At 43.9% G+C, this 13206-nt stretch overlaps 1 long non-coding RNA gene across 1 annotated transcript in view, besides 1 other annotated feature; it reads right to left on the bottom strand.

Moving 5' to 3' along the window:
• LOC105374618 (uncharacterized) overlaps positions 1–13206 on the bottom strand; it is a 188354-nt gene that overhangs the window by 77490 nt on the left and 97658 nt on the right. The window lies entirely within an intron of this gene.
• Positions 2963–3432: a silencer, noted in NCBI's record as "silent region_15890". NCBI's record gives its function as "represses an Ori minimal core promoter by ATAC-STARR-seq in GM12878 lymphoblastoid cells {active_cell/tissue: GM12878}" and the evidence as "EXISTENCE:reporter gene assay evidence [ECO:0000049][PMID:35858748]".

Raw genomic sequence — 13206 nt, 5'->3', positions numbered from 1 at the left:
AGGACACAAGTACAGTAGGTGGGCAAATTGCTTCTTGGGGAAAGACCTTTATTATTTTCTGAAATTATGAAAGAAGAAGATATCTTTAGAAATTTGGAACATATAAAATAATACACCTTTTAAAATTACCCATTAAACCTCCTCACCAAGGGATTGCTACTACCATCTCATCTGATTTTCCTTCCAGGATAGACACATATAATGTCTATTTAAATATATGTTGAATACACATAAAATATTTTGTATATAATATATATTAATATACGATTTTCGTAAATTCACAAGTGTTCCGTTTTTGTAGCTTTTCATCTTGCCTTTCTCACTTAGCACCGCAGTGCTCGGCTCCGTCTACGTCTCTGAAACGCTGCCGACTTATAGCCTGGGTCACTATATTTAGTTTAGCACCTCTGCTCTTACAAAAGTGGGTTGTTCCCAGCTTTTCCCTTATTGTAAATTATACTGTGATGACAGTTACATAAATGTGACTTTCTGGTTTCCTTGTGATACTTTTCTTTTTCTAGACGGGGAATTATTGGGTCAAAGCAACGGAAGAGAGTGTTCATGATAAGCGTGGCCAAATTGCTTTCCACGGACGCAGAGCTGACCGACACCTCCACCAGCCACCCACGGACGGGCTGTGCCGCTGCACCGTCACCAACACTAAGCGCCACCACAAAAGTGGACGTGCCGATTTGGTGCGTGAAAACTGGTGTTTTCATTTTTTTATTTTATTAATTTGTGCATCTTGACTCACCCTGAGGCTCCACACGTTCCTAAACCGTACCGGGTGTTCCAAATTTCCTTTCTTGCTTTGACTGTTTATATCCCTTCTATTTGGTTTTCACGTTTTTCTTAAAAATTTCTATGAAAATAATTGGCAATTAATGTTCCAGCCCTTGCATGAATTTTTAAGTGGTATCAATTAAAGAGAAAAAAATATTTGACTGTGTGCTTTCCCAAAGCATCAGACCTTGCATTTCACAGGGACTTATAAAAGGTCAATACTACCTCAAAGTCAGACTTCAATCTGGAGGGACTGCTACCAGAAGGAACAAGGCTTTAGCTATGCTCCACTGTTTGAAATGAGCTAAAATTTTGACTTCTTAAAATGTCAACCTCATAAATTCACTCTGCCAGACAAAATCAGGCGCATTCATTGTTCAACAGATATTCCCTTAGCTACTATGACGGTTTGGACCTTGTCCTTAAATAGCCTGAAATTTAGATGCAAAGATGAAATTTGAAATCCTTTATCTTTTGCCCTCTTTCAATCCCATTTAATCCATTCTTTCCAAATTCAGTCATTTTGGGTGAAAACATATAAAGCACTTACAATGTTAGTGCAGATGAGATCTAGAATCCTGTTTTAGTTTCTGGTGGTTTATTTAATCGATGCTCAGAATAGCTCTTTCACACTAAAATGACTATGTCTGCGTCCCCTGCCTTGAGACCCCTGCCCCGTCCTGAGTGCCTTCCCAGATGCTGAGCCTCCTTCAGACTTGGGCAAGAAGGAGATGGGTGTCGGAGATAAAACAGGAGCAGCTCTGGGAGTCCATTGGAGATAATGGGGGTTCATTTCTGGCAAAAGAACAGGATTGAAGAGACCTGAGCCCCATGTATCCTAACTTGAGGCCACAAGGGCTGACCCCTCCCCTCTGTTACGGCAGAGCCCATCGAGCCCCCCTTCTCCAAGGGGCAAGTAGAATCTGCCCACACGCCGAGGCTCTAGGGTAAGCATACCTAGCCTGATGGCTTCGCTCAGCTACAGGAAAGCTAGTCACCTTAAGCCTCAATTCCCTGATCTGTAAAATGTAAACAACAATAGAGCCATATTGTGATGTACGAAGGACTGTGTGTAGCTTAGCACGCAGTACAGAACAGGCCCCGGTAAAGGCCATCTGCTCTACTCGGCGCCTCTCCATGGGGCTACGGCAAGGCTTGCTGCCTACGAGCAGAATGGAGGGTGCCGAGTTCTCCTAGAGACAAATCTGTTCTGACTATAACAGCCAGAAAGTTAACCAGGTCCGAATTGAGGTCCTGTTTTGTCAGAACACCGTGGGGCCCCCCAATATCCCCTTTCTGGGTGTGGGCTTGGGGAAATGGGTACAAGACATACGGGGCTTTGGAAAGGGCTGCAGGGAAAGCCCGTCTCACAAACCCAGGCTTGTGGGGATGGGCCAGGGAGGGACCTCGGAAGCTATAAGGTGCCCCCTAAGGCAGGGCACCACTAACAGCGATCAAGGCAGGTGTAAACTTCACAAGAGAGGCTTCCTAAGTGACAAATTGTGGGCTGAGGCATGCCGGGTGGAAGCAGGCCCATCACTCTGCCAGGCAGAAAACAAAGGCCTGTGCCACAGCCTCCTGGAGGGCCCTCGGGAGGCTGTAACCCCTTCACACCTTATTGCTGGGAAGTGACTTTGCGATTTGACACATTAAAAACAAGTTGAGGCGAGGCTCCTCTCCAGTGAGTTGGAACCTCCGAGTGACAGGCCTCCCTTCCCAGCTCGGGCCCCTCCTGCTGGCGCTGGCTCAGACAGGAGCCTTCCAGAAGGAAGGGGGTGGGGAGGCAGGTGCCAGCTCCCGAGCTGCGTGTTCCTAAGCTCCCTGCACTGTGGGAAGGGACTGGGGAAGGTGTTTAAATGAAGCACTTGATACTCCTCAAATAATAATGGTAATAATAATGCAGCCTTTCTACTCTGGATTCTCATTCATCCTGGGGACCAGCAGGGGACCAGCCCCCCTCCATCCCCCCAGCCCAAACCTCTGTCCAGCCCCTCTTTGGCTCCTGCCCAGCCCTGCTCAGCTCTGCCCAGGCCCCGCCCTGCCCAACCCCTGCCAAACCCCTGTCCAGCTCAGCCTAGCCTTGCCAAGCCCCTGCCCAGCCCTGCCCTGCCCAGCCCAAACCCCTGTCCAGCCCCTGCCCAACCCTGCTCAAGCCCCTGCCCAGCCCAGCCCAGCCCTGCCCTGCCCAGCCCAGCCCAGCCCAGCCCAGCCCAGCCCAGCCCTGCCCGGCCCCTGCCCGGCCCCTGTCTGCCAGGAGTGCAGCACTGGCTGGAGCCAGCGTGTACACGAGTGGCCAGCAGAGGGCGCACTGCCTGGGCGCCGCCGTCCGCTGCCTGCCGCCCGCCATGGCTTGACCCAGACTCGGGTCAGATCCTGACCCTGACCCGGCCCGGCCCGCGGAGAGAAGAGCACTGCGCCTGCGCGGCATCGGGGCCGGGCTGGAGGGACGCTGGCGGCGGAGGTGCGGCCCCGGGCGGGCGCGGCGATCGATGCCCAAGTCAAATGCGTTTGTGCCACCTGTTGGCTCCGGGCCCGCACTGCACGCGCCGGGAGGTGGCTGTGCGGCGGCCGTCGCGGGCCGTGGTCCCCACCGGACCTCCCAGGGGCGGTACCTGGAGGGAGGGTGCAGAGGGGTTCGGGGCAGCCTCGCCAGGGAGAGGGAGACGCCAGCACCGCGGAACAGGCTGCGGGGCCGCCTCGATCAAGTGCCATCCCATAGTGAAGACAAGGTTCCAAACGGCAAAGACACTGACTCGTCTGTAAAGAGGAAACGCCTGGGCAAATGCCGCTTTTCAACAGTGCAGTGTTTTAACTTATTTTTAATCTAATATTGTGAAAAATCTAATAAATTGATTCGTTTTTGGGATTTTTTTCCAAATTCAAAATTTGACTAATGCGCATTATTTTCACTAGGAAAAAAGTTACTGTTATAAACGTGTCTCATTTTTCTACACATATTTTTACTTTCTTTTTAGTGAGTGCTTCTTTTAAACTACATGTACACTACCAGACATATGTGTAAGCCACATGAGTTGGAAATAAACATAAAGAAATACATGGGGTTTAGATTTACAAACAGTATCTTTGACCGGGCGCGGTGGCTCACGCCTGTAATCCCAGCACTTTGGGAGGCCGCGGCCGCGGCGGGCGGATCACTTGAGGTCAGGAGTTCGAGACCGGCCTGGCCAACACGGTGAAACCCCATCTCTACTAAAATACAAAAATTAGCCAGGCGTCGTGGTGAGCACCGGTAATCACAGCTACTCTGGAGGCTGAGGCAGGAGAATCGCTTGAACCCGGGAGGGGGAGGTTGCAGTGAGCAGAGATTGCACCATTACACTCAAGCCTGAGAGACAGAGCAAGACTCCATCTCAAAAAGAGACGAGAGATGGGAGAGGGGAGAGAGGAGGGGAGAGGAGGAAGATTTACAAACAATATTTTTATAACCAATTTGACCAGATGTCATATTTTCCACAGATATTTTGGCTTGTTTGGTACATGTTTGTGGGCACACAGAATTTGGTCTCATCTGGGCCTCGTGAATACCTGGAAAGGTGACTGGGAAAGATGAGGCTGTGTTCACACGTTAGTGCATGCATTCCAATCAAAACAGAAAGCCGGGCTCTTGAGAGAATGTACTGAAATAAGCTGGGTATTAACTGTTCCCATATCACAGCTATGTCATATGTGATCTGTGTAACTCGGGGGTTTTGGCATTCATTTCTTCAGGAAACAAATACTTTACCATGAATTGTAAGCACCACAAAAAAAAAAAAACATGAAAAAGGCTCTACGTATAGCTGTTGACACCCTAATAATAGAAATGAAAGGCATATGCTTTTAAATGTGTAAATACAAAAAAAGGAGGCAGAGCTTGACGCCAAAGCGCACCCTTCACTGCCAGGGAAAACCAGCTTTGTCCTGATTCGCCCCTCTCTTCTGCTTAGCCTCAGCGTGAACCATTTCCTTACCTTGCCGTTAGTAAATAAAGAGGATTTGCGTTGCAAAGGGTCAGCTATTTTACCATGGTCAGCAAATATTATCCAGTCCTTCTTGCTTATTGGTACACATTTTGTTTACACAACATTATATGCATAAGTTAAATATATTTAGCCCTTTCCTTTAATATGAAATGTTTCAATTATAACTTACAATAATCTAGCAAGGGAGACTGCATAAATGTGAGGAGTGGAGAAAAGCAAGAGGAATTCTGCTGTTTGTGTGTGTGTATATAAAATACACATAAAATGCACACATGTATACATATATATGGTGTATATGTACATATACATACGTATGTGTATATGTATATATATTATAACTAGGGCTGTTAGAAGAATATATATTCTATTAATATATCTTACACATTTATAAATAATATTATGTATATAAAATTAAGGTATAAGAAGAGTAGCCAGTGTTGGACTGAATGAGATAGAGAGTAAGGAAATGGAAACACTCGTTTTTTATTAACAGGACCTCCACATGGGATCCAAATTCAGCGACTTAAGTAGATCCTAAAGATTATATCAGGTTTTAAATATCAGGAATAATAAATAAATATGGCATTTTTAATAGCAACTCCCGCCCCGCTAACAGATGAAGGGGATAAGGCATTCCCTAGTCATCCTAACAGTGCAACTCCCATTAGTAGTAGCTAATATTATTATTGCACGAAAAGGCAGTTTCCTAGAACAGTGTGGGGAGAGCAGATGAAAACTTCATCCTATAGCCTGGGGTTTTTAATATTAGGAATAGAGATTTTTTTAAAAAACAGCATGTTTCTGGGCAGATGGAATGCAAGATGACCATGCCAAGTGAACCATCCAAGGCGCCCTGGCTTAGGGGGTTTGTTTTGTTTTGTTTTGTTGTTTCATAGCACTATGGATAGCAACACTGCAACGCAAGGGAAGGACAGATTAAGATTTTCGCTTACCCAAAGGCAAATAGAGAAGCTCCTTTCTCTACCACAGCCCAAAAATTGTGCAAAGAAAGAGCGTTATTCTTTAGGGAAGGCTCTACAGATTAAATGGTGTAAGAAGATATAGTATCTGCTGGGCGCAGTGGCTCACGCCTGTAATCCCAACACTTTGGGAGGCTGAGGCGAGGGATCATGAGGTCAGGAGTTCGAGACCAGCCTGACCAACATGGTGAAACCCTGTCTCTATTAAAAATACAAAAATTAGCCAGGCGTGGTGGCACATGCCTGTAATCCCAGCTACTCAGGAGGCAGAGGCAGGAAAATCACTTGAACTCGGGAGGCGGAGGTTGCAGTGAGCCAAGATCGCACCACTGCACTCCAGCCTGGGCAACAGAGCGAGACTCCATCAAAAAAATAAATAAATGAAAAGATATAATATAATACAGTCCCTTTTCCCATTATTCATTCATTGTTTATTGAAAGTTTCAGGCACCGTACTGGGCACCAGAAGAATAAAGATGACAATGACATGGACAGTGATGGAAATGAATGTGCGAACTGAGAAGAGAGAAACTGGTAGAGGGACATTGATCAAGTATAGTGGAACAGAAGGTGGGGGCAAGATGAAACATCACAAACAACCTCTTAGAACTTTTTTCAAGAACTTTCAAACATATACATTAATTCTTCAGCAAGTGTTTATCAAATGTTTAATATTTACTGAAAACAGTTCTAGGAGCTGAGATCACAACTGCTGCGGGGAAAGTAAAGGGTGTAACCTCCAAGAAATTAGAATTTGGTGGGGAAACTGACACTATCACCCAGTCACACAAATAAATGTAAAATTCTACCTGTGCACCTCAGTTACCCAGTGGAGTAATTTATAGCACGGGGAAAATCATGGCAGATTTCACCTGCTAGAGGAGGTCAGAGAAACCTTTCCTGAGAAAAGCACCACGGAGCTGAGCTGTATAGATAAGTAGGCATGATGAATTAAAGATGACCACAAATTATATCGAGAGTTGTGATCTACTCTCCCTTTGATTTGAAGCTAGTACTAAGGTCTCACTATAACCAAAAATATGTGGGAGAGGTAAGATGACACGCCTTCCAAGGCTAGGCGAGAAAAGGCTGCAGCTCTTGCCTTGGTCTCCAGGTTCACCTGCTCCCAGATGCTTCCACTGAGGTTACTCTTTTTTAGAACTCGGCCATGGTGTTTTGAGTCTCCCAAGCAAGATGGAGCCACCCACAGTGCACGCACTCTGTGGGACAGACAACCTCAGCTCCCAGACAGCAGACAGCACGAACTCAGCTGTGAATGAGCCCCTTGAATATCCAGCCCACCAGAGTTTTAAATGACTGCAGCCCAGCCTGCATCTGACTGCAGCCTCCAAAGCAACTCCCACTGAGAAGCACTCAGCCTAGTCCCTCCAGCCATGCTGGCCTACAGAATCTGCAGCCATAATAAATAGTTGTTTGTCTGTGTCACTAAATATTGAAATGAATTGTTACATATTCATGGGGAACTAGAACAGAATGTGGTACCTAGAAGTGGAATGCTGGCAAAATCATACCTAAAACCTGCAACATTGATTTTGAGCCCAGCAGCCAGTCACTGAATGTCCTCACTGAATGTCCTCAATGTGGTGGTTGGAAGGGCTTGAATGGAAGCAAGAAAAGTGCTATTGGAGGCTGGAGGTAAGAAACTCTTGCTATACAGAGACAGAAACTCGACGACACTGTGTGTTGTAGTGACACAGGACATGGGAGTACAGCTAACCATGATCTCAATGAGGACACTGCTAGGCAGAATATTCATAGCACTACCTGCCTTCTTCTTGCTGCTTGTAATAAAATGTGGAAGGAGAGAGATAAACTGAAGACCATCTATTTAGTTTTTGAGTAGAGTGTGGATGAAATGACAAGTCAAGAATATTTTTTCCAATGAGAAAAATGCTTGTGAATGAAGGGATGACCTCAGAGCTAAGATCAAATTAAGGTCACTTCCAGTAAACTAGAGCTTCACAGAATTCAGGGCATGGTAGTAAGAGCCCTCAATAAGATATCAGAAAGGTTCAGGGTACTGTATCCCATACACTCTCCATTAAGCGAAATTCCCGCTGCTTATTTCAGGGCATGTCTGATAGATCCTCTCAGCTACACAACAGTCTAGCTTTAAAGACCTTCAAGGGCATTGTCCCTGTGGTAGCCTCACAGAAGGTCTAAGGGTAGAGAAGGATTTATCTTGAGAAGATTTGTGAATATGGCTTTTGTGTAATGGAATGAATTATAAATTGATACATAAAAATTCATGTAGTTTTTAAAGGAATTAATATACTTAACTGAAGAAGACAGAGGTTGTCAAAATGAAAAGAGGGCTTTGGAGTCCCCCAAATGTCTGGTCAGGATGCAGACCTAGAAAGCTACACAGCTGCAACCGCAGTCCACTTCTTATAGAAAAGGCAGAGCCAGGAGCCCAGACAGGAGAGCCACGAGCCTTGGAGACTCATTCCCAAGGAGCAGGACTGGGCCCTCACTGAAGGGGCAAACACCTGAGCCTGGAAAGATTTCGGAAATGCTATGAACCCGTGGCTGCTGTTGTCCATCATCGTCCTCTTTTTGAATGGACGTGTTTATTGCAGTCTTCCTCACTCAGTGTCACTGTTGCACGTTGGGTGTGAGGGAAGAGATCTACCTAGATCAGAGACCTATGGACTGAGACAAGTGCACTTGAAATGTGGGTTCTGAACTGGGGGCCCCGGGGGAAATGGAAAAACAATCACTAAACAACTAGTCATGGAAAGGTGACGTTGAGAGAGATGATCCTGAAAACTAAATTGTAAAACCACACTGAGGGGAAAATGTCATAAAAGAGAAAGTCAGCAAATGAGAGAATTCACTCCCAAGGAAATGGAAATGATAAAGCAATCTAAAGAGAACTTTAAAATTAGTATGTTTAATACCAAAAAGAAAAAAAAATAGGAGGAGGAGGAGAAGGAAGAAAAAGAGTAGAAAACATAGCAGAAAGTTTATAACACAAAAAGGGCCACCATAAATCAAGGACATCTGGATTTAAAAATAACTAGCTTAAAATGCTGAAAGGGAAAACATAAGTAGCTCACTGGATAAGCAAATTTGAAAAGAGAAAAGAGAGAATTTAGCATAAGCATATTAGAAATTTAGAAATTTCTAAATTTAGAGAGAATTTAGTGTAAGAACTTAGAAATTTTCTGTGAAAGGAAGAAAAATGGGATAGAAAAAGAGATGTAGGCATATGGTGGATCTAAGAATCATTCCTTCATACCATCACTACGGGACAGATGGGAGCATGATGGGAAAGATACAACCAGGAGCGATGGGCTGAATATTCTAGAACAAAAAGATGTCATCCACAGTGTGAGGCTCCTGAATAAATGAGGGTGGGATCCAAAATTAGGTGGAGAGACCGTGCTTCTCCAGGGAAGGGATGGCTCCTCTGTGGTAACGGGCAAAGCAGTGGGTGGTGCAATTGTCTGGTGTTAAGGATGGGGCTCTCAGCGGGGGCCTCTGTAATCTCTAGCAGCAGGAGATGCATGAATGCTGTGGGGAGGTTTGAAGAGTGTGAAAGCTAGAAACAGCCATTGCTGTAAGGGGAGCGAGGGGTCACAAGGACAGGGTGGCAGGCATTTTGGGAAATACACATGACACATGAAATGCACGATGTTTGCTAAAGGGACCATATACTACTTTTGTTTTGATGTAAACAGTAAGAATTGTTAGATCTTCACTGGTTACCTTGGTATCAGTGCCTGGCAATCATTTTGCTATCAGACAGCAAGGATAAAGCACAACCCAAAACACGTTTGTGAAGAGCCCTTTTTAGAAATCAATAATGCCATTCATTTTGCTTTCACTAATGAAAGGGCAGCAAACCACAAAAATAAGGGGAGGGAAGGAGATGTGACCCTCACAGGGGAGGCATCTGGAAACAAAACTGCAAAAGGCATCATCATGTTCACTCACAACCCTTCTGTCATTTGGGAAACTGTACAATAAGGCAGGAAACAAGGCAAGTGCCCGATACTAGGGGTCCCATCTGGCAACGATTACAGAGCACAAAGAACACAGGCCCAACCTTCTCCTCTTCCCAAAAAGGGGCTACATCTCAGCGGTGAGGTGGCTCTCCGAGGGCCACAAACTGCCACGTGCAGAGCAAGTCTCCTGCCCCGATGCCAGGGGCTCAGGCATGTGTTTCCACAGCCCTTACTCACTGCCCACAAGGCTTCTCCAGGGCTGGGACACAAGCGCTGAGGCCTGTCACCCCAACCCCAGCCCCATGAGAGGAAAGATTCACAGACACCACCATCACAGATGCAGACACCAGCGAGCTGGTGGTCCTGGCCTCAGGGTCTCTCCACAGGGCACCAGCCGTGCTGGGAGCTGCACTGGCCGCGTGCTGCCTCAGGTGTGAACCACCATCAGACCTCTTATCGATGCAGCAACGGTTTTCTGAAGACACACGTACGGGACTTTTCCCAAAACTTTTCTTGTACTTTTCTTCTCCTATTCATGATATTTTATCCCACCCTTCATGACCGGCCGTAGAGCTAAGCTAAGACATGCTGGTTAAATGTGCTGTGGCATCTTGGACAGAATCTTGAAACAGAAGAAAGACAGTAAGCCAATAAGAAAATCTGAATAAAATATGGACTTGAATTAATAATAATGTGTCACTATTAGTTCACTGAGTATAACAGGTGTATTGTTCTAATAGAAAACAGGACTCACTATACTGCTGCCATAATTTTTCTATAAATCTAAAGTGTTCTAAAGAGTAGTTTATTTTAAAAACAATAATAACCAGTTATGGTACTATACACAAAGCAACAGCTCGGAAGCAGAGATGGGAACTTCTTGGGAAAGCAATTAGACAAAACTTATCTGAATTCTTGGTTATATTTCTGTCTTTCCAACAACAACAAAAAATTCATATTTTAGTTATCTAGTCTAAGAAATGTTCAGAAGCCCAGAAAACTTTTATGGACAAAGGCGCTATTGAAACAAAATTTATAGTAGTAAAAAAATGCAAAAAGTAGGAGATTGTGGTGGATCCATAAGTGGGAACAGAATGCTATGAATCAGGCATAAGATGAATCTGAAAGACAGAAGAAAACATTGACCATATGATCACAGTACCTTAAGGAAATGCATTAGCATAGTGGCAGCAGTTACCTTTGGACAGTGAGGGACAGTAAGTCAGGTTTTCAGTTTCATCTTTGTTTCCAAATGTTTTATATTGTGGAGATATTACTTCTGAAATAAGGGAAACATACACATATAGGAAAAGAATGGGTTTCAAATGAAAACATTAACACTTGTTTTTCTATCTCTAAATATTAAAAATAACAATAAAAGTTTTGTTTTCTACAATTTTAAAAATTCAGATGCAAAATCAATAAGAAGATCATTATTTTTACATAAGCTTCTGTTTTAAAATAGTTTTTCCTACAACTCTGTGTGACAATGGAAAGAGGGCCAAGGCTCTATTGCTGAATAATCTGAACCAGAATTACCCTCCTGGTGCAAACTAGAGACTTCAGATTGTACCCTGATGCGATGAACAGTTGATTCAGCTCCCTCAGTTCTCCACCTGTAGATCTGGAGAATGCACTTGTGCATAACTTTGCATGCAACAATAAATTATGCATCCAGCACTCAGATGATTAAGTGACAGGAGTGTGTCACCTGTAGGCAGAGCCGGCAGTCACAAAGCACACAGTAGCAGCTCTTTTGAGCAGGAACGTTCTCAGGAACACTGAGGTCATCCTGTGTCTAAAATATGCCATGAGATTCTTCACACGTGCCTTGAGACTGCTGGAGATGAATGATAAGAACTTCGGCTTGATGACTTGTTTCCAGGGCAACACTTCTAGTCATGCCACATTCTCCAAGAAATGAGAGTGAGAACTGAAGAGTTTTGAGACGCCAACATAACTGTGCATACTCTGTGTCTTGGTTTTTTTAAAACATTGCACCACATTTCCAGAAGTCTTGAATAAAATTGGACTCCCCAGAGAAATATTGTCAAAAAGTTATAAAATGCTTCTGAGTAAACAATAATGCATCAGTGTTTCTGCCCAACGCTCTACTCTGGCGCCAATACTAACTAAGAAATACTAACACATATTTTTTAACTCAAATTTTATTCTAAGTTGGTGGGTTTCCTAGAATGGTGGAGGAAGACACTTAATAAATTTCCTTCCAAAACAATAACAAAACTGGACAAAATTGTCAAATACAATATTGCAGAACTCTGGAAATCAAATAGAAGCATTTCAATAATTGGGAAGCATGTATCGCACACACACACACACACACACACACAAAATCGACTAAACCTCAGGTAAAAGCATTGTAAACTGGTGTTTTCATAGAAGCTGTTTTTGCTCTGCCCACCCCAGATTCAACCATGTGGTGGTCCTCCCTAGGCTGGGCAGGCAGTGCAAACTGGCAACTTGGCTGCCAGAGGGGGCTGACTGGATATGATGTGGGGTGTGGTGTTTAATAGAATAGCAATCCCTGTGGCAAAAATATATATATATATATACACCCAAAGGCAAACATTGCAGCAAGCTACGTTAACTGACTGGCTTTAAAATGCATTACCCAACCCACACGTGGATTTATTGGCAAAAGGCAGAAGCTTTATTAGCTCAAGATGTTTTAGCACAACCATTGGCCAAACATTGTATGACTAAGCTAGGCTGACCACAAGTGGTCCCTGCAAAACTAGGCTTAAATATAAATGCAAGAATAAAAAGTGGGTGGGGGGAACCGAACAGAGATATGAGTGATCACACACTGCAGGAGAAAAGGAATTTACAAAGTTAGTCCAGGCAAGTCACTGAACACACAATAAGCAAAACTTGCAACCACAACCCCGCAGGGAAAGGGAGTTGTGATCTGGAGTTGCTATAATATATGACCTAAAATGTCAAGGTTTAAAGAAACATTGTTAAGACACGCAATGAAACAGGACAGTGTGATTCTCACATAAGAAAAAACAGTCAATAGAAACTCTCTGAGAAGACCCAGATGTTGAACCTGGCAAACAAAAACCTAAAAAAAAACTATTATAAATATGTTCAAAACATTGAGAAAACCATGTTTAAAGAATTTTTTTAAATATAGTGATAATGACTCATCAACCCGAGAATATCAAAGAGATAGAAATTATTTTTTAATCCAGTGGACTTTTTGCAGTTAATAAGCACAATAATAAAAATGAAAAATCAAACAAAAAAAGATTTGGACTGACCAAATAAGAAATCAGTGAACGTGAAGACAAATTGAAAGAAAGTGTTTAATTTGGAAAAGCAAAAGAGAGAAAGAGTAAATAAAAATAAACAGAGCCTTAGAGACCCACTGAACACCAAGAAGTATCAAATTTATGTTTAACGGGAATATCAGAATAGCTAGAGATCATGTGGCAAAAGGATATTTGAAGAAATAACTGAAAACTT

Source organism: Homo sapiens, chromosome 5 (assembly GCF_000001405.40).
Source record: "Homo sapiens chromosome 5, GRCh38.p14 Primary Assembly".
NCBI lineage: Eukaryota > Metazoa > Chordata > Mammalia > Primates > Hominidae > Homo > Homo sapiens.
The sequence above is the reverse complement of the archived record's forward strand: the minus strand, read 5'-3'. Positions and strand labels throughout refer to the sequence as shown.